At 42.5% G+C, this 25,950-nt stretch overlaps 1 long non-coding RNA gene and 1 pseudogene across 1 annotated transcript in view, besides 1 other annotated feature; one reads left to right on the forward strand and one right to left on the reverse strand.

The window, feature by feature from the left end:
- The window catches only part of LOC105372323 (uncharacterized), a 41,604-nt gene extending 33,348 nt beyond the window's left edge, over nucleotides 1-8,256 (forward strand). Inside the window, exon 4 of the long non-coding RNA XR_001754056.2 lies at nucleotides 8,131-8,256. This is a non-coding gene — a long non-coding RNA (uncharacterized LOC105372323). The remainder of the gene's footprint in view (nucleotides 1-8,130) is intronic.
- Nucleotides 7,287-7,581: an enhancer, noted in NCBI's record as "tiled region #12513; K562 Activating DNase matched - State 5:Enh". NCBI's record gives its function as "activates a minimal TATA promoter and a strong SV40 promoter by Sharpr-MPRA in K562 cells {active_cell/tissue: K562}" and the evidence as "EXISTENCE:reporter gene assay evidence [ECO:0000049][PMID:27701403]".
- CPSF6P1 (CPSF6 pseudogene 1) lies at nucleotides 15,113-15,455 on the reverse strand (annotated as a pseudogene).

Consider the following 25,950-nt stretch of genomic DNA (forward strand, 5'->3'; position numbering starts at 1 on the left):
GAGGCACTGCACCTGGTCCTTTTTTTTTTTTTTTTTTTTTTGAGGAGTCTCACTCTGAAACCCAGGCTGGAGTGCAGTGGCAGAATCTTGGCTCACTGCAACCTCCACCCCCCTGGTTCAAGCAATTCCCCTGCCTCAGCCTCCCAAGTAACTGGGATTATAGACACATGCCACCACATCTAGCTAGAATTCCTGATTAAAGTTAAAATAATTAGATAACAGCTAATTAGACTGATGTGGCTCTAGTGGTCTAGGTTTCTGTGTAACAAAAAAAAAAACTAACTCAAATGCATTTTTTGTAAGTTACTACCTTAGAAGAAAACAAAATTCAGGCTTAATTAAACATAAATTTCCATTTAATCCCTGATTATGTTACCAGAAAGTTTTCTCCTGGACACTCCAAATGAAGCGACTACCTAACTGTACCCAATCATTTATTTAATTTGCATTCCATCCTCATACACATTATAGAATCCTTTTCTTCAAGACCCTCTGGTAGCCCCTGAAGGGGTGGCCTGCCCCTCCACACCTGTGGGTATTTCTAGTCAGGTGGGACTGAGAAAAGAAATAAGATACAAAGTATAGAGAAACAACAGTGGACCCAGGGGACCGGCGCTCAGCATACCAAGGACCTGCACCAGCACTGGTCTCTGAGTTCCCTCAGTTTTTATTGATTATTATTTTCATTATTTCAGCAAAAATGAATGTAGTAGGAGAGCAGGGTGATGATAAGGAGAAGGTCAGCAAAAAACATGTGAGCAAAAGAATCTATGTCATAATTAAGTTCAAGGGGAGGTACTATGCCTGCATGTGCACGTAGGCCAGATTTATGTTTCTCTCCACCCAAACATCTCAGCGGAGTAAAGAATAACAAAGCAGCATTGCTGTAAACATGTCTTGCTTCCCACCATAGGGCGGTTTTTCTCCTATCCCAGAATAGAACAAATGTACAATCGGGTTTTATACTGAGACATTCAGTTCCCCGGGGCAGGCAGGAGACAGTGGCCTTCCTTTATCTCAACTGCAAGAGGCTTTCCTCTTTTACTAATCCACCTCAGCACAGACTCTTTACGGGGGTCAGACTGGGGGATGGTCAGGTCTTTCTCATCCCATGAGGCCATATTTCAGACTATCACATAGGGAGAAACCTTGGACAATACCCCACTTTCAAGAGCAGAGGTCCCTGCGGCTTTCTGCAGTGCATTGTGCCCCTGGTTTATTGAGACTAGAGAATAGTGATGACTTTTACCAAGTATACTGCTTGTAAACATTTTGTTAACAAGGCACTTCCTGCATAGTCCTAGATCCCTTAAACCTTGATTTCATACAACACATGTTTTTGTGAGCTCCAGGTTGGGTCAAAGTGGCTGGGGCAAAGTGGCTGGGGCAAAGCTACAAATTAACAACATCTCAGCAAAGCAATTATTCAAAGTACAGGTCTTTTTCAAAATGGAGTCCCTTATGTCTTCCCTTTCTACATAGACACAGTAACAGTCTGATCTCTCTTTCTTTTCCCTATAGCCCCCAAACCACAAACTATGTCTGGGGGCTGTCCTATTGATTAATCATGGTTTGTACATATTAACTTTTTTTTTTTTTGAGACGGAGTTTTGCTCTTGCTGCCCAGGCTGGAGTGCAATGGCACAATCTTGGCTCACCGCAACCTGAACCTCCTGGGTTCAAGTGATTCTCCTGCTTCCGCCTCCTGAGTAGCTGGGATTACAGGCAGGCATCACCACGCCTGGCTAATTTTGTATTTTCAGTAGAGATGAGGTTTATCCATGTTGCTCAGGCTGGTCTCGAACTCCTGACCTCAGGTAATCCACCTGCCTTGGCCTCCCAACATGCTGGGATTACAGGTGTGAGCCATGCCACCTGGCCTTAAATATTTTTTATAGAAATAATTAAATGACAGATTGTGGGGGATTAGTCAAAATGGGGGGAGAAATTATAGGGAAAGGAGCAGGCCTTTTGAAAGGTCAGAAGGCTCTGCAAAACTTTGTGGGAGAATAAGCTGATGGCAGCCGTTCTCTTACCCTGAGGCAGAGGGTGAGGAGTAGGTACAAGGGAATGTAGGGGAATTTATCTTAAATAGGCTTGTTTGCTCGTGTTGTCCAGAAGCTGACCTTTGATCATCCGTGCTCTTGACTGCTCTCTGAAAGGGGGAACAATAATGTTAATTACCTGCAGATTGTGTTTGCTCCAGGCTTTCCGTATTATGTCTGTACTGAATAAAAGCAAGCAGCTCCAGCTGTTCGGGGCTGCTCTCGTCTTTGACCACAAGTGCTGGCCAGTCCTCTAGCTGCTCTTACACTGCATACCTGTGTCTGAGTACTCCTTTCATTCATCAATTGGCCAGGGTCTATGGGACAGACCTGGCAGCTGGTGCCCCATGTGAACAAAGCTGCAATGGAACCCTCAAAAACAAAGGTGAAGAGACTGTGCAGTAAGTAATCAGTGCCCATTCAGGATTTCCAAGTTTGAGGGGATTTTCAAGCTAGGGTTTCATCATGGGACAACAGTTATCAGCTCAACAGCAACAGCATATAAAAGTATTGAAACAGCTGCTTCAAGCTAGTGGAGCCTCAGTTTTGGAAGCCCAATTAAGGGACCTAATGCAAAGTGTTGTTTTTCATAACCCATGGTTCCCAGAGGAAGGCACACTAGACCTAGAGCTCTGGGAACAAGTGGGGAGAAAACTTAGATGACATCATGCGCAAGGGCAACAGGTCCCAGTAACATCTTTAATGTTAGGGGGCTTTGTTATGGCTGCTTTGGCCCCGCTCTACACAGAAGTGCCTAAAAAGGGAAGGGAGGAAGAACCATCATCTACCTTACCACCTCCTCCTCCTCCCCCAGCCCTGCTGTTACCAGGTAAAGGTGCCACAGAGGAGACAGAGATTTTCCCTGTGCCCCCTCCCCCAGTAAATTGGAAAAAAGACAAGGGATACACTACAGTTATGGGACCCTGTCTTAGGCAAGCAGCATTAGAAGGGGAGCTCTTGGCATGCCCGGTGATGCAAGATCAACAAGGCAATTGGGTACATGAACCCATTACTTTTAACACCTATAAAGATGCCACAGCAGCCAACTTCCATATGACCCCATGAGACTGGCCACTACTAGCTAAAACAACTTTAGAAGCCAGTCAATATCTCCTCTGGAAGGCAGAATATGATGAGTTGTACTAACAACAAGCCAACCAGAATCAGTTGGCTGGGCAAAACATAACGGCCGCTATGCTCCAGGGGAGGGGTCCCTATGTCAATGTACAAGAACAATTAATTTTGTTCCCCAGGCCTATGCACAAGTGTCTTTGTGTGCTCGCAGGGCTTGGGACTGAATTCCTGAAGATGGAGTTCAACAGGGATCTTTTGTGAATGTTCAACAAGGGCCTAAGGAGCCATTTGTTATCAGTCGGTTAACACAGGCAATTAAGAGACAAATTAGTCACGCCCAGGCTGCTGAAATCTTATTGTTGCAATTGGCTTATGAAAATGCTAATGTAGACTGCCAGCAGGCAATGCAGGCTATTGTATTAAAGCCTCCTAAAGTGAAAAGGGAGAAAAACCCAAATTGTTTTCTATGCGGAGAGCCAGGTCATGTGAAGTGGGAATGCCCCAATAGTAAAGACCAAAGTAACTCAGGAAAAAAAAAAAAAAAACCCTTCTACATGCCCCCGATGTAAAAAGGGGAAACACTGGGCAAATCAATGCAAGTCCAAATTTGATAAAAATGTCAACCCCCTAAGCAATCAGGTGGGACATTTCATGAGGGGCTGGCCCCAGGCCCCATTCCACACTGGGGCAATGCCAGTGGCTTTCCTCGGTTAGATGGAAAGCCCACAGTCCTCTCTTTCAGAGCAGCCACCTTGGGGAGCGCAGGACTGGACTTACTCTGCCCTGACAAATTAGTGCTAAAAGAAGGAGAACACCCTAAAGGGTTGCAACAGGGATCTGGGGTCCACTGCCTCTGGGAACAGTGGGACTGGTCCTAGTGCGATGAAACCTATCCAGTAAAGGAGTCAATGTGCTCACTGGGGTAATTGATAGTGATTACCAAGATGAGATATTAATTATGATTTAATGTAAAGGTCTACATATTCTTCCCCCTAAATCTAAAATAGCTCAGTTACTACTCTTACCATACTGGGTTCCCAATGCCCAGGGAAAGGAAAGGGGACAAGGAGGTTTTGGAAACACGGAAGCCACAGGAGTATATTGGAACCAATCAATCACTGATCAGAGACTCATGATTACCTTAAAAATTGAAAATAAAAATTTTACTGGCCTATTGGACACAGGGTGAACATTTTGATCATCAGTGATGAAAACTGGCCAGAAACTTGGCCTTGGGTCACTCAGAAACAAAAAATTGTCATCATCAGGGAAGTGCACACAGCCAAGCAGAGCACACACCCCTTAATATGTCATGATTCAGAGAGAAGGAAAGCAGTTATACAACCTCAAATCATGCCCATCCCAGTTAATATTTGTGGATGGGACCTATTAGCCCAATGGGGGGTTACTCTGCAGACCTCTTTCTAATAATGGCCACTGTTGTTATTCCTCCCCTACCCCTGACGTGGCTCTCTCAAGATCCAATTTAGGTAGAACAGTGGCCTTTGAAGGGAGAGAAATTACAATGAGCCCATAAATTAGTTGAGGAGCCATTAAAAGCTGGCCATTTAGAACCATCAGACAGCCCTTGGAATTCACCTATTTTCGTCATTCCCAAAAAGTCTGGTAAATGGAAACTTGTGCATGACTTATGTGCTATCAATGCTAATTTGTAACCTGTGGGGCCCCTTCAACAGGGGCTCCCTTTCCCCACGGTGATTCCTCAAGATTGGCCTATATTCATTATTGACTTAAAAGACTGCTTTTATATTATTTCCCTTGCAGAACAGGAAAGAGAAAAATTTGCATTTACAATACCAGCTATAAATAATGAAAGGCCAGCTCCTCCAATTCATTGGAAAGTACTTCCTCAAGGAATGCTAAACAGTCCTACCGTGTGTCAGTATCATGTAAATCAGGCTTTGCTTCCCAGTAGAAAAGAATTTCCTAATTGCAATATCATCTGGATGACATCTTACTGGTGGCCCCAATGGAGCCAATACTTTTGAGTTTATATGCCCCTGTCAAAAGGAATACACAGTTAAGAGGTTTAATCATAGCACCTGAAAAGGTACAGATGTCCTCCCCTTGGAAATATCTTAGATACATACTAACTTCCCGGTCAGTAAGACCTCAAAATGTTAAATACTAGCAACTTATATACCTTAAATGATTATCAAAAATTACTAGGCAATATTACCTGGCTTCACCCCACCTTGGACATAACTACTGATAAGTTGCAGAACCTGTTTTCTATCCTAAAGGGCAATGAAACCCTGGACACCCCCAGGTATTTAACCTCCACTGCAAATAGGGTAATTGAGGAAATAGAGCAAGCTATTTCTCATAGGAAACTAGATTGCATAGACCCACAATATTCAGTCCAGTTGTTTGTTTCTCCTACAAAACATTCCCCAACAGGATTAATAGGACAGATGGCCCCAGGGCTGTGCTTCCTAGAATGGGTTTTTGCTCACACACTGGGACTAAAACACTGTCCCCCTATATCCAGCTAATTGGTAAAGTCATTTATACAGGCCACAGATGATGCAATCGATTGCAAGGTTATGACTCTGATGTCATAAGAATACCCTTAAGTAAAAAACAATTCGAAGGAGTCCTGCCCTTATCTCTAGATTTTTTCTTTTTTTTGAGACACAGTCTTGCTCTATCACCTAGGCTGGAGTGCAGTGGTGCGATCTCAGCTCACTGAAAGCTGCAAGCTCTGCCTCCTGGGTTCACGCCATTCTCCTGCCTCAGCCTCCCTGAGTACCTAGGACTACAGGGGACCACCATCACACCCGGCTAATTTTTTTTGTATTTTTAGTAGAGATGGGCTTTCACTGTGTTAGCCAGGATGGTCTCAATCTCCTGACCTCGTGATCTGCCTGCCTTGGCCTCCCAAAGTGTTGGGATTACAGGCATGAGCCACCGCACCCGACCTTATCTCTAGTTCTTTAAATAGCACTCTCTGATTATGTGGGCCATATAGAAAGTACCCTTCCCGCTGATGAACTACTCTAGCTCTTATACTCCTGTAATTATGCCTACAAAGGTAGTTCACTCCCCCATACCTAATGTGCTTTAACAGTTTTCACTGATGGCTCTGGTAAAAATGGAAAAGCAGCTATCTGGTGGGAACCGCATAACTTCCTCACTCGATCTAGATTTACTAGTACTCAGCTAAAGTTGGAGCCCTAGTATTGGTCCTGGAAACCTTTTCCACTCAGCCCATCAATATTGTTAATGACTCTGCTTACTCCATTTATTTATTGCAAAACCTTGAAACAGTCCTCATTAAGTCAACTCTTGAGCCCACTCTGTGTGCCCTTTTTCTTTGACTTAAGAAATTGCTACATTAACAAACACATCCTGTTTTTATCACACACATTTGGGCCCAAAGCTTGCTGCCCAGCCCACTAGTTCATGACAGCAATCAAGCAGACCTGCAGGTTATGACGTCACTTGCTTGACCAAGCCACCCAATCACACCAATTTTTCCACCAAAACTGGAGAAACTTAACTAAACAATTTCAATTTACCCAAAGACTAGATAAACAAATTATCCTGCAATGCCCAGATTGCCAGCTCACAGGCACATCCCCTCCTTCAACAGATGTTAACCTTAGAGGACTAGAACCTAATCAGCATGGCAAACAGATGTTACACATGTCCCTGAATTTGGAAAACTAAGATATGTACATGTATCCATTGATACCTATTCCCACCTAATTAGCGCTCATGTTCTTCCTGGAGAGTCCATCCAATATGTCATTAAACATCTTCTCTTAACTTTTGCATTTATGAGGTGGCCCCCAAAAAATTAAAACTGATAATGGTCCGGCTTATGCCAGCTCACAGTTTCACCAATTTTGTCACACATGGAACATCCTACATTCCAAGACATCCCATATAACCCCCAAGGACAGGCTATAATAAAAAGTGTCCACTCTGCCCTTAAATATGCTCAGAAAACAAAAAAGGGGAAATATGAGTAAGGACCCTGCAACACTTTTGGCACAAGCCTTATTTACCCTGAGTTTCTTAAATTTAGATGATAAATTTCAATCAGCTATAGACAAGCACCTTGCAAAAATCACTCAAGATATAAAACCTTCAGTTTTATGGAAAGATGTAAATAGTAATGTATGGTGTGGTCCAGATGATTTGCTAACATGGGGAAGAGGGTATGCTCGTGTTCACACCCCCTCAGGTCCTCTTTGGATTCCAGCACGAGGCATCAGACCTTACCATGGCTTGGCTAGGACCCAACTCGGTATCAGAAATGAAGGAAATGACACTGCAGGACCTAACAGCCCTGGACGATGTGGCTTCCTAGGACAACACAGACCCCGGACATTATGCTGAAGAAGATAACTTAGGAGGCTGAGTGAATCCTGGTCCAGACACAGACACATTCACTCCAGATAATTTGTTCCTTGCTATGCTTTCTGTTGTACATTGCAACTCTTGTAGGGTATTAACCTTTTTTATTCTCTCACTTTGCCTGCTACTGTTGGAGGCCAAAGGAATGAGGGTTGTGACCAACTCAGTATACCACTGGAGGCTATATGAGCAAACAGCAAACTGTTCTTGTTAGGAGCCAAAAGCCTGACGGTTGTGACCAACTCAGCATCCCACTGGAGGCTATACGATTAAAGAGCAAACTGTTTATCATGAATGCAGGATGTGGGCAAACTCACATCTGTGCCTGCCACCAGAAGATATGCTGAGGGCAGTCACTCCCTGGCACTGTGCTCCTTGCAGTTGTCTACTGGAACATCTGGAGTCTACTGTTCAAAGAAAGCATTCGTGCAGGCCTGCACTAAATCAAGCAGCTGATTGACAACCACCCCTTTCTCCCTATTTCCTTTACTTAATAAATACAAAGGGCTCTAGAAGCTCAGGGGCCTTGCTCCCTAGAAGCAAGGAGCCCCCTGACCCCTTCTTGAAAACATACTCTAGTGTCTTTTTCTTTATTCCCGTGTTCGTCCTCTGTTCCATTTTCCAGGCTCCATGACAAGTGGCACCAACAACAGGGACTTCAAGGACGTGACGAAGAAGGTCTGCTAGAGCAGAGGAAGTGAAATTTACCAGATGAACCGGGACCCCAGGACGAGTCTGTCAGCAGGGAATATAAGGCCAGTGCTCTAAAGAAGTACTGAGGATGGGAAGTCTCTGAATCAGGGTAACATGGGGTAGAATTTGTCTGTTGAAGAAAAACATTATGTGCAGTTGTTTAAAGTTTTATTGAACACAGTCTGGAGCTCAAGTTAATTCACAGACATTAACTAAGCTTCTGCAGGAGGTTATTACACATAACCCATGGTTTCTGCAGGCAGGCACTCTCAATGTGGAAAATTGGGACAGAGTAGGAGACAAATTGAAATGGGCTCATCAAAAAGGTCCCAAAGTAGACCCTTCTGTTTTTTCCTCTTGGGGTTTTGTTCACACGGTCCTACAGCTGTTGTCTCCTTCTTATTCTGTCACACAACAGGAGCCAGGTTCTGAGTCTCAAGATTTAAAAAAATTATTTGTTCCTCCAACTGGGCCTATTGAAAACAATGAGCAGGAGAAAGGAGAGGAGAATTGGCCCCTTGCTAAGCAGGAAACAGGAGAGGAGAATTGGCCGCTGCCACACCCTCCAATAACAGAAGTAGAAACCCCCATACAAAAAATTTTGTGCACTGCTGCTGTGGCTAGGGAACCTTTAGGAACTTGCACTTTTCCTATTACCATAAGGCCTGACCTGAATGATCCGCAAAATCTTTTAAATGAACACACTCCTGTAGAGTTTAAATTACTAAAAGAATTAAAAGCTAGTGTGGTCAATAATGGAGTGCAGGCCCGGGCACGGTGGCTCACGCCTGTAATCCCAGCACTTTGGGAGGCTGAGGCAGGTGGATCATGAGGTCAGGAGATTGAGACCATGCTGGCTAACATGGTGAAACTCCATCTCTACTAAAAATACAAAAAAAATTAGCCAGGTGTAGTGGTGGGCCCCTGCAGTCCCAGCTACTCAGGAGGCTGAGGCAGGAGAATGGCATAAACCCAGGAGGTGGAGCTTGCAGTGAGCCAAGATCACACCACTGCACTCCATTCTGGGTGACAGAGCAAGACTCTGTCTCAAAAAAAAAAAAATTATCTTGGGCTACCCTCTTTGTGTCCCCTCCCTTTGTATGGGAGCTCTGTTTTCTTTCTTTCTTTCTTTCTTTCTTTCTTTCTTTCTTTCTTTCTTTCTTTCTTTCTTTCTTTCTTTTTTGAGATGTAGTTTCACTCTTTTTGCCCAGGCTGGAGTGCAATGGCATGATCTTGGCTCACTGCAACCTCCACCTCCTGGGTTCAAGGGATTCTCCTGCTTCAGCCTCCCGAGTAGCTGGGATGACAGGCATGCACCACCATGTCTGACTAATTTTGCATTTTTTAGTAGAGACAGGGTTTCTCCATGTTGGCCAGGCTGGTCTCGAACTCCCTACCTCAGGTGATCCACCTGCTTTGGCCTCCCAAAGTGCTGGGATTACAGGTGTGAGCCACTGAGCCTGGCCTGGGAGCTCTGTTTTCACTCTATTAAATCTTACAACTGCACTCTCTTCTGGTCTATGTTTGTTACAGCTCGAGCTGAGCTTTTGATTGCTGTCCACCACTGCTATTTGCCGCCATTGCAGACCTGCCACTGACTTTCATCCCTCCAGATCCAGCAAGGTGTCCACTGTGCTCCTGATCCAGCAAGGCACCCATTGCTGCTCCTAATCAGGCTAAAGGCTTGCCATTGTTCCTGCATGGCTAAGTTCCTGGGTTCATTCTAATCAAGCTGAACAGTAGTCACTGGGTTCCATGGTTCTCTTCCATGACCCATGGCTTCCAATAGAACTATAACACTCACCTCATGGCCCAAGATTCCATTCCTTGGAATCCGTGAAGCCAAGAACCCCAGGTCAGAGAACATAAGGCTTGCTACCATCTTGGAAGTGGCCTGCTGCCATTTTGGAAGTGGCCTGCCACCATCTTGGGAGCTCTGGGAGCAAGGACCCCCCCCCCCCCGGCAACATTTTGGTGACCATGAAGCGACCTCCAAAGTGGTGAGTAACATTGGACCACTTCCGCTTGCTATTCTGTCCTATCCTTCCTTAGAATTGGAGGAAAATACTGGGCACCTGTCAGCTGGTTAAAAACAATTAGCGTGGCCAAGGGACTTAAGACTCAGGTGTGAGGCTGTCTGGGAAGGGCTTTCTAACAACCCCCAACCCTTCTGGGTTGGGAATGTTGGCCTGCCTGGAACCAGCTTCCACTTTCAATTTTCTTGGGGAAGCTGAGGGCCAACTAGAGGCAGAAAGCTGTCATCCCGAAGTCCTGGCATTAGCCAGTTGAGATTATGGCACAGCCAGAAGTCTCTACTCAACAGTCACCCATGTGTGTGCCCCCACCTTTCCTTCTGACCCATAACTCCTGGGTCCTGAGCATGACTTTCTTGAAAATATAGCCCCAAAATTCTCCTTACCTCTGAATCTACTTCCTCTGATCTCTGCCTCCTAGGTACTAATGGTTCAGATTTTCATTTCCTCTAGCAAGTTGTATCTCCAAAGGGATCTAAGGAAACTCTATGCTGCATCCTTAGGTATCTAGGCTATAAACCCAGGGAGTCTTGTCCCTGGTGCCCCTCCTGATTTAGGTATACAGCTTTCAACATGGGCAGTTATGTGGGACCTGTTCCCTACCACCCTGGCAAGGGCCCCAACTTTGTAAATGGCTAAGAGAAGAGAGACAGAGAGAGAGAGACACACACACAGAGAGAGAGAGAGAGACAGAGAGAGAAACAGACAGAGAAAGAGAGACAGACAGAGAGGAGAGAGGAAAGAGAGGCAGAGAGACAAAGAGGGAGTCAAAGAGAGAAAGAAAGAGAAAGATAGAAGTAGAAAAAAAAAGTGTGCCCTCTTCCTTTAAAAGCCAGGGTAAATTAAAAACCTATAGTTGAGAAATGAAGGTCTTATCCATGACCCTATAACACTCCAATACTACCCTGTTGTCACTGTAAACAAGGGCGTAGCCTGAAAACACTGAGACCACTGACCACCCGTAGCCTTCTTATCAAAAATCCTTAACCCAGAGACCGACTGATGGCCCAAGTGCATTCAATCTATAGTGGCAACTGCTTTCGTAGCAGTAGAAAGTAGAAAAGTAACTTTTAGAGGAAAACTCATTGTGAGCACACCTCACCAGTTCAGAATTAGTTTAAGGCAAACAAGAAAAAAGTAGCTTACTAACTCAAAAAGTCTTAAAATACGGGGTTATTCTGTTAGAAAAAGGTAATTTAACACTAACCACTGATAATTCCCTTAACCCAGCAGATTTCCTCACAGGGGATTTAAATCTTAATTACTATACAAAGGTCCAACCAGACCTAAGAGGAAATCCCTTCAGGAGAGGATGATAGATGGTTCCTCCCAGGTGATTGAGAAAAAAATAAAAAAGGGTATTCAGTAATTGATACGGAGGCTCCTGTGGAAGCAGAGTTGGAAAAATTGCCTAATAATTGGTCTGCTCAAATGCACGAGCTGTTTGCACTCAGCCAGGCCTTAAAGTACTTACAGAATCAAAAAAGACTATTTCAATCCTGACTCAAAGGGCTACCTACACCCTCTCTGAAATGAATTTGCATAAGAACGGTTGTTTATGGGAATGCATCTTGATGGGGCAGCTGGGTTGTTATGAAATACTTAGGAACCCAGCCCAGGTCTAGTACTCACCCCTGAGCACAAAAACAATGTTGGGCAATTTGGTAAAGGACCACTAGAATCCAGCAGCCTGGACCCCTTTCTTTGTGGTCAAGAGAGGTGGGAAAAGAGGTGCAGGACTGCTACATCAGTGAACATAACTAATCTGATAAGCAGAGGCCTATGGGTGGTTATGCACCCTGGAAAGGAATAAGCATTAAGAACATAGAGGCCGCTCTATGACTAATGCTTATTGGAAAATGACCAGGGGTGCTGGCATCCCTATGTTCTTTTTTCAGATGGGAAATGTTCCCCCCAAGGCAAAAATGTCCCTAAGATATATTCTGGAGAATTGGGGCCAATTGACCCTCAGACACTAAGAAAGAAATGACTTATATTCTTCTGCAGTACAACCTCACCATGATATCCTCTTCAAGGGGAAAAAACCTGGCCTCCTGAGGGAAGTATAAACTATAACACCATCTTACAGCTAGACCTCTTTTGTAAAAAGGAAGGCAAATGGAGTGAAGTGCCATATGTGCAAACTTTCTTTTCATTAAGGGACAACTTGTGATTATGTAAAAAGTACAATTATGTAAAAAGCCCTACAGGAAGCCCTCAGAGTCTATCTCCCTACCCCAGTGTCCCCCCGACTCCTTCCCCAACTAATAAGGACACCCCTTCAACCCTAATGGTCCAAAAGGAGATATACAAAGGGGTAAACAATGAGTCAAAGAGTGCCAATATTCCCCCATTATGTCCACTCCAAGCAGTGGGAGGAGGAGAATTTGGCCCAGCCAGTGTGTGTATACCTTTTTCTCTCTCAGACTTAAAACAAGTTAAAATAGACCTAGGTAAATTCTCAGATAACCCTGATGGCTATATTGATGTTTTACAAGGGTTAGGACAAGCCTAACATCTGACATGGAGAGATATAATGTTACTGCTATATCAGACACTAACCACAAATGAAAGAAGTGCCACCATTACTGCAGCGTGAGAGCTTGGTGATCTCTGGTATCTTAGTCAGGTCAATGATAGGATGACAACAGAGGAAAGAGAATGATTCCCCACAGGCCAGCAGGCAGTTCGCAGTGCAGACCCTCATTGGGACATAGAATCAGAACATGGAGATTGGTGCCACAGACATTTGCTAACTTGCATGCTAGAAGGACTAAGAAAAACTAGGAAAAAGCCTATGAATTATTCAATGATGTCCAGTATAACACAGGGAAAGGAAGAAAATCCTACTGCCTTTCTGGAGAGATTAAGGGAGACATGGAGAAAGCATCCCTCTCTGTCACCTGACTCTATTGAAGGCCAACTAATCTTAAAGGATAAGTTTATCACTCAGTCAGCTGCAGACATTAGAAAAAAACTTCAAAAGTCCACCTTGGGCCCGAGCAAAACTTAGAAACCCTATTGAACTTGGCAACCTCAGTTTTTTATAATAGAGATCAGGAGAGCAGACAGAATGGGACAAACAGAATTACAAAAAAAAGGCCACCACTTTAGTCATGGCCCTCAAGCAAGCAGACTTTGGAGGCTCTGGAAGAGAGAAAACCTGGGCAAATCAAATGCCTAATAGGGCTTGCTTCCAGTGAGGTCTACAAGGACACTAAAAAAGATTATCCAAGTAGAAATAAGCCAACCCCTCATCCATGCCCCTTATGTCAAGGGAATCACTGGAAGGCCAACTGCCCCAAGGGATGAAGGTCCTCTGAGTCAGAAGCCACTAACCAGATGATCCAGCAGCAGGACGGAGTGTTCCTGGGGCAAGTGCCAGCCCATGCCATCACCCTCACAGAGCCCCAGGTATGCTTGACCATTGAGGGCCAGGAGGTTAACTGTCTCCTGGACACTGGCACAGCCTTCTCAGTCTTACTCTCCTGTCCTGGACAACTGTCCTCCAGATCTGTCACTATCAGAGGGGTCCTAGGACAGCCAGTCACTAGAAACTTCTCCCAGCCACTAAGTTGTGACTGGGGAAATTTACTCTTTTCACATGCTTTTCTAATTATGCATAAAAGCCCCACTCCCTTGTTAGGGAGAGACATTCTAGCAAAAGCAAGGGCAATTATACACCTGAACATAGGAGAAGGAACACCCATTTGTTGTCCCCTACTTGAGGAAGGAATAATCCTGAAGTCTGGGCAACAGAAGGACAATATGGATGAACAAAGAATGCCCATCCTGTTCAAGTTAAACTAAAGGATTCCACCTCTTTTCCCTACCAAAGGCAGTACCCCCTTAAACCCGAGGCCCAACAACAACTCCAAAAGATTGTTAAGGACCTAAAAGCCCAACCATGCAATAGCCCCTACAATACTCCAATTTTAGGAGTACAGAAACCCAACAGACAGTGGAGGTTAGTGCAAGATCAACTTCACTCCCTAGCAGCAGTAGTCCTTCAAAATCAAAGAGCTTTAGACTTGCTAACCACCGAAAGAGGGGGAATTTGTTTATTTTTAGGGGAACAATGCTGTTATTATGTTAATCAATCCAGAATTGTCACCAAGAAAGTTAAAGAAATTTGAGATCAAATATAATGTAGAGCAGAGGAGCTTCAAAACACTGGACCTGGGGCCTCCTCAGCCAATGGATGCCCTGGATTCTCCCCTTCTTAGGACCTCTAGCAGCTATAATATTGTTACTCCTCTTTGGATTCTGTATCTTTAACCTCCTTGTTAAGTTTGTCTCCTCCAGAATCGAAGCTGTAAAGCTACAAATGGTTCTTCAAATGGAGCCCCAGATACAGTCCAAAGTTGATGACATCGAAGGCACTCCTCTCAAGGAAATCTCAACTGCAAGACCCCTACTACACCCCAATTCAGCAGGAAGCAGTTAGAGTGGTCATCAGCCAATCTCCCCAACAGCACTTGGGTTTTCCTGTTGAGAGGGGGCACTGAGAGACAGAACTAGCTGGATTTCCTAGGCCAACTAAGAATCCCTAAGCCTAGCTGGGAAGGTGACCGCATCCACCTTTAAACACAGGGCTTGCAACTTAGCTCACATCTGACCAATCAGGTAGTAAAGAGAGCTCACTAAAATGCTAATTAGGCAAAAACAGGAGGTAAAGACATAGCCAATCATCTATTGCTTGAGAGCACAGCGGGAGGGACAATGGTCAGGATATAAACCCAGGCATTCGAGCTGGTGACTGCTACCTTCTTTGGGTCCTCTCCCTTTGTATAGGAGCTCTGTTTTCACTCTATTAAATCTTGCAACTGCAAAAAAAAAAAAAAAAAAAAAGAAAAAAACAAAAACAAAACAAAAACAGAAAAAAAAAATTATCTCCAAAATATCATTTACTCCCAAAGAATGAACTGCTTCAGTTAAGTCTTCATCTGTTGTCCACCATGTTAGATTTCCAACATATAATGCAATTCTCTTTCCAGTATGTGTATAGACAACATTAGGTGCCACTCCTTTACCCATATCATCACCAACAGTTGGTGGGAGAGTATCCATGTAATCCCAGTCTTCTGTGGCATCTCCATTATTTGCAGATGGAGATATGACACAGTCATACAAATCTATCTGGCCATACCCACGATATTCAGCTTCCTGGTTTAACTCTTCACCCACATCTCGTAAATGTCTATGTGGTCCACGCTGTCTGCCATCTTCCCTCAGCCTCGGCCACTGCTGCTGCCGCCACCAAATAAGTACATTTTTGATGGTGACAGAGTAATATCAATGTCTAAAGTTTTGGTCTATCTCTCAAAATTGAGAAGTTGACCAAAAGGGAGAAATTGTTAAATTAATTATGCCTAAAGCTGCCCCCTTTCCTGTTTAACTTTGGTCACTAGGTTTTTTATACATAGTAAACTGAAATCTAACTGGGTATATAAATAGACCAACCAATTATTGTACAAACCTCTGTGTTTTTGCCAATAAAAGAACATCAAGTGTTCAAATCATGATTAAATAAGGCAAATCCCAACCTGTAATCAATCTGGCTGTTTCTGTATCTCACTTTCATTTTCTGTATGTCACTTTGCTTTTGCTGTTTATAAATCTATTTTCATCATGTGGCTGTGTTAGATTCTCTCTGAGCCTACTCTGGATCCACAGCCTACCCAATTTGCAAATCATTCCATGCTCAATTGATCTCTGTTGCTCACGTCTGGGAGCACTTTGGGGGGCTGAGGCAGGTGGATCACGAGGTCAGGAATTCAAGAGCAGCCTGACCAACATGGTGGAACCCTGTGTCTACTAAAACTACAAAAATCAGCTGGGTATGGTGGCGCATGCCCATAATCCAGGTACTCAGGAGGCTAAGGCAAGAGAATCGCTTGAACTGGGGAGACAGAGGTTGCCGTGAGACAAGATCACACCACTGCACTCCAGCCTGGGTGACAAAGCAAGACTCCATCTTTAAAAAAAAAAATTAATGTATCTAAAGGTTTTTTCTTTTAAAAGATTTCAAATATTTTCTATGATGAAAACTAATAATGTGCCATTGGACTTTGATTTTCTAAACTCATCCCTCAGCTATTTCTCCAAATTATTTTATGTCTTTACAAAATGCTTCTCCAGTTTCTTTCTTTCCTTCCTTCCCTCCTTCCCTCCCTCCCTCCCTTCTTTCTCTCTTTCTTTCTTTTCCTTCCTTCCTTCTTTCTTTCCTTCTTTTGACAGGGACTCACTCTGTCATCCAGTCTTGATTGCAGTGGTGTAACTACTCATAGCTCACTGCAGACTTGACCTTCCAGGTTTAAGCTATCCTCCTGCCTCTGCCACCTAAGTAGCTGGGACTATAGGCATGCACCACCATGGGTGGCTAATTTCTTCATTTTTGTCATGGAAACAGAATCTTACTATGTTGTTCAGGCAGCACTGGAACTCCTGAGCTCACATCATCTCCCATCTCATCCTCCCAAAGTGCTAAAAATACAGGTGAGAGCCACCATGTGCTTCTGCAATTTTTGTGAGGATTATTCCCAATGATAAAAAGTACTCTATGAGCACAAATCTAAAAGGAATCTGACTTCTTCTGTAGAAGTGTCACTCTCCAGGATTTCAAGAGTCTAGGGCAGGGCAGCTACTTTAGTAGTGTGATCTATGGAGGTGTATGGGCTTTGGAGTCAGATAAAGTTGATCCTGAGTCTCAGCCCAGCCACTTAGTAGCTGTAGGTCTGCACAAGTTTCTTGATGTGGAAGAGTTCTATATACCACATATGTAAAAAAGGTAGAATATTACAAATTGTAAAATGATTGCAAAATGACAACATTTTTTCATCCTACTTGTATCTATGCCCATAGCCAGGTGCTTTTACAGCTGTTTCCTTAAGATCTGGAATCTGTTTTCAAAACCCTATATCTGGCTGCCCTTATTTGCTCAGGTCAGTAGAAACCTGTGAACATGACAGTGGGCCAGTTTGGGGCCCAGGCTCAAATGGTATTGACTGCTTCTATTTTTCTTTTAGAATGCTGCCATCTCCATGAATAATGCCCATGTTAGCCAGCTGGAAAATAAGATACCATGAGGAGGAGAAGCAAGGTGCCGCTGTTGACAGGCCCAGAAGAAGAAACTCACCCCCAGAAGCAGAGCTGTCTAGTCAACAAGCAGCTGATGATACATGTCTGAAGGAGCTCAGCTGAGACTGGAAGAATGGCCCCACTCAGCTCGGCCTAAATGGCTGATCATTTCAATTATGAACTAATAAGTTTTGGATGATTTGTTATGCTGCAATAGCTAACTAATACATGCACCCAGTACAGATAGGTTGCCAGGATTCAGAGACAGGTTGACTACCAGTTGGCTTCTAACAGTGGACACCCTCTAGGTACTGATTTCTTCCCCTGATTTAAAGTTTGATGTTTTGTGAGAGAATTTGGGTAATGCAGAAATACCTGTAGACATGTATGCATGTGATTGGTGCTTAGACTCACATAGTCCCCCACACCACAGGAGAAAACAGATAAATACAGCCTGACCATTAGGGCCAAGACCAAATAGCAAAATATGTTTGCTTTTAATCTATTTTCTCCATCTCTAAATACTGGAGTTCAAGTGTGTGGACAGAACTGAAGACAGCTGTTTTTCTCCTGTAGCCCCATCATCTTTTGTTCACTATCTGGTCTCTAAAAGAAAGGTGGGCAACAGGTGACCAGCAGTTGCTTATTACCTGTGGCTATTTTATTCCTACTGCCTATATGCTCTTAATTTTATACTTTATTATCTAGAAAAGTGTCATATGTATATTGGTGTTGTGGGCCTTATGCTATTCTCTTCTCTCAGAGTTAGAGAATATTTTAGAGAATATTTCTGTGTTAAAAATTATTGGAGAATTTCAGTCATTTCTATTAATCAGAACCAATTCTCTTTACTCTGTCATTTTATTTTAATTCAAATGATAAATTCTGCTCATGACCATTTGGTAAATATATGTGTGTCTGTGTGCTTGCGTTTTTCAGGAGCCATTGTCATTTAGGGATGTGGCCATAGAATTCTCTCTGGAGGAGTGGCAATGCCTGGACAGTGCTCAGCAGGGTTTGTATAGGAAAGTGATGTTAGAGAACTACAGAAACCTGGTCTTCTTGGGTGAGAATAACTTTAATACACAATTTCTAATATACCCTAAAGGTTTCCTTTCTCTTTTTTTGTGGAATGATTTTTGGTAATTTACGCTTTGCATAAATGAGTTTCTGATCCATTTTTTCAAAAAAATCTTGAGACTTTGTCTGTGTGGAAAAGAAGGTATTCAAGATGTCTCATCTTGACCTGAACTTTCCACATTCCTGAGCTGGTCTGTATCCTTCACTCTAGATTAGTGGTAATTCCAGAAATGTAGTGGCATAAAATATTGTTGCCCATGTTTTTAGGCCAGGCACGGTGGCTCACTCCTGTAATCCCAGCACTTTGGGAGGCCAAGGTGGGCAGACCACGAGGTCAGGAGTTTGAGACCAGCCTGGCCAACAAAGTGAAACCTTGTCTCTACTAAAAATACAAAAATTAGCCGGGCATGGTGGCACATGCCTGTAGTCCCAGCTACTCATGAGACTGAGGCTGGAGAATTCATTTGAACCCAGGAGGCAGAGGTTGTAGTGACCCGAGATCGTGCCACTGCACTCCAGCCTGGGCAACAGAGCAAAACTCTGTCCCACTCCGCCCCAAAAAAAAAAGTATTTATATATAGTTGCCCGTATTTTAAAATCTATTCATCAGCATCATGAGTACCGGGTAGTGAAATTAAGGACCTACAAATTTAAAATATTTTCTAAACATTTAGAAATTTCATTAGTATTTTGAGATTAATTTTGGGAATATTCTATTACCTCCTCTTTACTAAGCATACTACTAGGTTGGTAATTGGAGAATAAGAGAAAGATTCAAGTTATTCATTTCTAATAAAGCAGGTATTGCTGTCACTAAGCCAGACCTGGTCACTGTCTGGAGCAAGGAAAAGAGCCCGAGAATATAAAGAGACAGATGGTAGCCAAATCCCCAGGTAGGTGAGAGTGAACACAACAGATGACACAGATGAGAGGTCCAAATGTCAAAAAGAAAGCTGGTCCTTAAAATGTGATTTGGGAAGCTGTGTTCCAAAGGAAATAGTTTCTGGGATGTGTGAGCTTTTTTGTTTTTTGGGAGTATTTTTTGCTGTGACATAGGGGCATCTTCTCTCTTATGCTTTTAAATTCTTTAAAGATTCTGCTTTCCCTTTGGTGATCTTCCTTCAAGTGTACAGTGAGAGCCAAAGTCCTTTTCATGGCATGTAAAAGACTGTACAATCTCCCTGCTTTTCCATTATTTGGGGGGACACACAGATATCAGCATAATTTTGGGAAACTCTATGTTAAACTATTTTTTAGTTTTCCTTTTTCATCATGTCTGAAATGTGTGAAAGTAGAGGTTTCTGTTCCATTGTTTTGTTTGTTAATCTTTCTGCACATTTCATCTGTTTTTAATTACTATATTCTTGAAATAGAGTTAAATTATAAAGTATAATACCCCTCTGGTTTGTTCTTTTGCCTCAAGATTGCTTGGGCTTTTCGAAGTTTATTGCAGTTTCTTGTAAATTTTAGAATTGTATTTTTTATTACTGTGAAAAAAATGCCACTGGAATTTTAATAGGAAGTTTTTTGAATCTGTAGATTACTTTAGATAATATGACACTTTAACAATATTTATTCTTTCAATCCATGGACATGAAATATTTTAAAATTTGTCTCTTCAATAATTTATTTCATTGGTATCTTACATCTTTTTTGTTTTGTTTTGTTTTTTGAGAAGGAGTCTCACTCTTTTGCCAGGTTGGAGTGCAGTGGTGCAATCTTGGCTCACTGCAACCTCTGCCTCCTGGGTTCAAGCAATCTTCCTGCCTCAGCCTCCTGAGTAGCTGGGACTACGGGCGCATGTCACCACACCAAGCTAATGTTTTGTATTTTTAGAAGAGACGGAGTTTCACCATGTTGGCCAGGATGGTCTTGATCTCTTGACCTTGTGATCTGCCCCCCTTAGCCTCCCAAAGTGCTGAAATAACAAGCATAAGCCACCATGCCTGGCCTATCTTATATCTTTTATTGTAAAGATTTTTTACCTTCTTGGTTAAATTTGCTCTCAGAAATTTATTATTTTAATGCTATTGTAAATAAGATTATTTTCTTTATTGTATCAGATGGTTTAAGTGTATGGAACAATAACTTATACTTGTATGTTAATTTTATATTTTGCTAATTTACTGAGTGTATTTATTAGTATAGACAAATTTCAGTGCAGTGTTTATGGTTTTTTTATATATAAGATCATATGATCCACAAACAGTAACTTTTTACTTATTTGTCTTCAATTTCAGTGGCTTTTCAAAAATGTTTTTGACTCATGATTCTGCCACTTACTTCCAGTCCTACGTAAAAATAGAAGCATTGACAATAGGCACAATATAGTTTTGCATTGGTGTCTGTGAATTTGATAGAGCAAACACTTCTTCAAGTTGTTTTTTTTGTTTTGTTTTGTTTTTTTGTTTTTTTTTTGAGACAGCATTTTGCTCTTGTTGCCCAAGCTGGAGTGCAGTGTCATGATCTTGGCTCACAGCAACCTCCGCCTCCCAGGTTCAAGTGATGCTCTGTCTCCAAAAAAAAAAAAAAAAAGGAAAATTAATGGTTGTAAAAACACATAACATAAAATTTACCATCTTAAATCTTTTTTTTTTCTTTTTTGAGACAGAGGCTCCCTCTGTCACCCAGGCTGGAGTGCAGTAGCGCAATCTCGGCTCACTGCAACCTCCTCTTCCTGGGTTCAAGCAATTCTCCTGCCTCAGCCTCCTGAGTAGCTGGGATTACAGGCACCCACCACCATGCCTGGCTAATTTTTTGTATTTTTAGGAGAGACAGGGTTTCACCATGTTCGCCAAGCTAGTCTTGAATTCCTGACCTCAAGTGATCCTTCCAACTCGGCCTCCCAAAGTGCTGGCATTACAGCATGGGCCACCGATCCCAGCCTACCATCTTAAATTTCTTTAAGTGTACATTTCAGGGCTAGACCTGGTGGTGCCTCACAACTGTAATCCCAGGATTTCGGGAGGTCAAGAAAGGAGGATCACTTGAGCCCAAAAGTTTGAAATCAGCCAGGGTAATACAGGGAGATTCCCTCTCCACAAAATTATTTAAAAAATTGCCAGGCATGGTGGTATGCACAAGTGGTTTCAGCTACTTGGGAAATGAAGAGAAGAGAATTACTTGAGCCTGAAAGTTTGAGGCTGAAGTGAGCCATAATTGTGCCACTGCACTCCAGCTTGGGTGACAGAGTGATAATGTCTCAAAAAAAAAAAAAAAAAGTTTTACAGCCCAGGCACGGTGGCTCATTCCTGTAATCCCAGCACTTTGGGAGGCTGAGGTGGGCAGACCACCTGAGGTCAGGAGTTCAAGACCAGCCTGACCAACATGGTGAAACCCCATCTCTACTAAAAATACAAGAATTAGCTGGGCCTATGACAGGTGCCTGTAATCCCAGCTACTCGGGAGGCTGAGGCAGGAGAATTGCTTGAACCCAGGAGCCAGAGGTTGCAGTGAGCTGAGATTGCCCCATTGCACTCCAGCCTGGGTAAGAGTGAAACACCATCTCAAAAAATAATAATAATAAAAATAATTGCATTTTAGCCATGTTAAGTATATTCACATTCTTATGCAAAAAACTTCTAGAAATTTTACATCTTGTGAAACTAAAACTAAACACCCATTAAGTAACAACAACCCATTTTACCCTCTCCCCAGCCTTTGGCAAACACCCTTCCACTTTCTGTTATTCTAAATGTGACTATTTAAGATATCTCATATAAGTAGAATCATACAGTGTCCATCATTTTGTTTCTGGCTTATGTCAGGCGATGTAATATTCTCAAAGTTTATCTTAAAATGTGACAAGATTTTCTTCTTTAAGACTGAATAGGCCAGGTGTGGTGGCTCACGCCTGTAATCCCAGCAGTTTGGGAGGCTGAGGCGGGCAGATCATGAGATCAGGAGATCGAGACCATCCTGGCTAACACGGTGAAACCCAGTCTCTACTAAAAGTACAAAAAATTAGCTGGGCGAGGTGGCTCTCGCCTGTAGTCCCAGATACTCGGGAGGCTGAGGCAGGAAAATGGCATGAACCAGGGGGGCAGAGCCTGCAGTGAGCCGGGATCGCACCACTGCACTCCAGCCTGGGTGACAGAGCGAGACTCCTTCTTGGAAAAAAAAAAAAAGACCTAATAATATTCCATTTTATGTATAGGTTACATTTTTGATGTGTTCATAAATCTAGAGAAACCCGGGTTGCCTCAGCCTTTTGACTTTTGTGAGTACTGGTACAATAATCATAGATGTTCAAATATGTCTTCTAGGTCTTTTGTTGCATATTTTGAATATAGATTAATGGAATTGCTGAATTTAATAATAATTATTTTTAATTGAGAAACGTAACATTTTAAAATAATGACTGCATCTTTGTTTTCTACCAACAATCAACAGAGGTTTCATTTTCATTGCATCATCAACAGATTTGGTGTCTAAAAAATTTATAGCAGCCATTGTAATGGATGTGAGGTGATTTCATTTTTTTCATTTTTATTTTTACATGTTTCTCTACAAATTGTTAATTTTATGTGCCATTTCAAATGGTTTTCCCCATTTGTGTATCTTTTTTTTTTTTTTGAGACAGAGTTTTACTCTTATCACCTGGGCTGGAGTACAATGGCGCGGCCTCAGCTCCCTGAAACCTCCATCTCCCAGGTTCAAATGATTCTCCTATCTCAGCCTCCTGAGCAGCTGGATTACAGGCATGAGCCACCACGCCCATCTAATTTTGTATTTTTAGTCGAGACAGGGTTTCACCACCTTGGCCAGGCTGGTCTCGGACTCCTGACCTCAGGTGATCCACCCGCCTTGGCCTCCCAAAGTGCTGGGATTACAGGCATGAGGCCCTGCACACGACCTTGTGTATCTTTTAGTTCAATTATTTGTTCATTTCTAAATCAAGTTATTCAAATTTATTGTTCAGTTTTAAGAGTTGTCTCTATATTCCATTTTTTTTTTTTTTTTTTAGATGGAGTTTTGCTCTTGTTGCCTAGTCTGAGTGCAATGGTGTGACCTCAGCTTGATGCAACCTCCGCCTCCCCATTTTAAGTGATTCACCTGCCTCGGCCTCCCAAGTATCTGGGATTACAAGCATGCGCCACCATGCCTAGCTAATATTGTATTTTTAGTCGAAATGGGGTTTCACCACGTTGGTCAGGCTGGTCTTGAACTCCTGAGCTCAGCCTTCTCCACCTCGGCCTTCCAAAGTGCTGGGATTGAACCACTGCACCTGGCCCAAATATTAACTCTTATCACATGTGACTTGCAAATATTTCCCCCATTTCCTATGAGGCATTTTCATTCAATTGAATGTTTTTAGTTTCTAATGTGGAGAAATTTTGAAGTATAGAGTAAATCTTTCTGTTTTTTTGTTGCTGCTCATGCATTTAATGTTGTATCTAAGAAAATGGTGCCAAGACCCATGTCATGACTTTTTTCTATTTTGTTCAAGAGATTTGTTAGTTTTTTATGAGTGTAAGTATTTTATTGAAAACATTTTTTATATATGGTTCAAGGAAATTATCCAACTTTATCAGTGTTGATATTTGGTTTTTAACATTATTGAAAAGATTATCTTTTCTCTATTGTATGTTCATGGCAGCTTTGTGGAAGATCATTTAATCATATACACAAGGGTTCATTTCTGAACTCTCTATTCTGCTCTTTCATCTGTTTATCTGTCTTTGTATCAGTACCATACTGTTTTTGTTATTGTAGCTTTTAATGTTTTAAAATCGGGAAGTATAATGCCTGTTTGTTCTTTTCATGGGTGTTTGGTTAGTTATAGTTCACAATCACATTTAAAAATTTTAAAGAATATTTCTGTAATAACTGCTATTTAGATTTTTATAGAGATTTCATTGAATTTGTTCACCTCTGTAGGTTATATTGGCATCTTAACAAAATTAAAATTTTTGACCCTTGAGCAGGAATGTGTTTTATTTTAATTTAATTTAATTTTATTTATTAGAGACAGTCTTCCTATGGTTCCTTGGCTAGTTTCCAGCTCCTGGGCTCAAGCAGTTCTCTTGCCTCAGTCACCCAAAATGGTAGTATTACAGGTGTGAGCCATTGCACTCGGCCCATGTGTTTTATTTTTAGATATTGTTGGATTTTCCAGCTTTACTTTTGCTTTTAATTCCTAGGTTTTTTTTTTTTTTTTTTTTTTTTGAGACAGAGTTTTGCTCTTGTTGCCCAGGCTGGATTGCAATGGTGTGGTCTGCGCTCACCACAACCTCTGCCTCCCAGGTTCAAGCAATTCTCCTGCCTCAGCTTCCCAAGTAGCTGGGATTACAGGCAAGCACCATAACGCCCGGCTAATTTTGTATTTTTAGTAGAGACACGATTTCTCCATGTTGAGGCTGGTCTTGAACTCCTGATCTCAGGTGATCCGCCTGCCTCGGCCTCCCGAAGTGCTGGGATTACAGATGTGAGCCACTGCGCCCAGCCTTTAATTCCTAGTTTTATTCAGTTTTGGTCAGATACCATGCAGTGCATGATTTTGGTCTTCTTAAATTTATTTGTTGTTGTTTTCAGACAGGATCATACTCCGTCACCCAGGCTGGAGTATAGTGTCATAATTTTGGCTCACTGCAACCTCAGCCTCCTTGACTCAAGTGATCTTTACACCTCAGCCTCCTGAGTAGCTGAGACTATTGACATGCACTGCCATGCCTGGCTAATTTTTTGATTATTTCTAGGGACAGGGTCTCACTATATTACTGACACTGGTCTTATACTTGTGGTCCCAAGGGATCCTCTCACTTTTGTCTTCCAAATTGTTGAAATTATACATATCAGCCACTACACCCAGCTGGTATTCTGTAATAAGACTTGTTATGTGTTCTAACAGAATACATCAGGTGCAAATAAGAATATTGTGTATTATTTTGCTTTTAACTAAAAAGTTTTGTACATGTCTCTTAAGCCTAGTTTGTCTGTGGTATGGTTTGGATGTCCATGTTCTGCAAACCTCATGCTGTAATGTAATCCTCAATGTTGGATGTAGAAGCTGGTGGGGAGGTGTTTATATCATGGGGGGCAAATTTCTCATAAATGCCTTGGCACTATTCTTTTGATAATCAGAAAGTTTACACTCCATTAATTCAAATGAGAGCTGCTTCCTTAAAAGAACCTGGCTTTTTCTCTTTTTTGTGATGGAGTTTCACTCTGTACTCTAGGCTGCAGTGCAATGGCACAATCACAGCTCACTGCAACCTCTGCCTCCCTGGTTCAAGTGATTCTCCTGCCTCAGCCTCCCAAGTAGCTGGGATTATAGGCACTCATCACCATGCCCAGCTAATTTTTGTAGTTTGTTATTAGAGATGGGATTTCACCATGTTGGTCAGGCTGATTTCGAACTCCTGACTTCATCGACTTCCCAAAGTTCTGGGATTACAGGTGTGAGCCACGGTGCCTGGCCTGAACCTGGCTTTTTCACCTCACACTTGCTCTTTTTCTTACCATGTCCTGTTTCCATTCTCTGCATATGGCTAGCCAGTTCTCCCAGAACCATTTGTTAAATAGGGAGTTCTTTCCTTATTGCTTGTTTTTGTCAGGTT

Source organism: Homo sapiens, chromosome 19 (genome assembly GCF_000001405.40).
Source record: "Homo sapiens chromosome 19, GRCh38.p14 Primary Assembly".
In the NCBI taxonomy this organism is placed as follows: domain Eukaryota; kingdom Metazoa; phylum Chordata; class Mammalia; order Primates; family Hominidae; genus Homo; species Homo sapiens.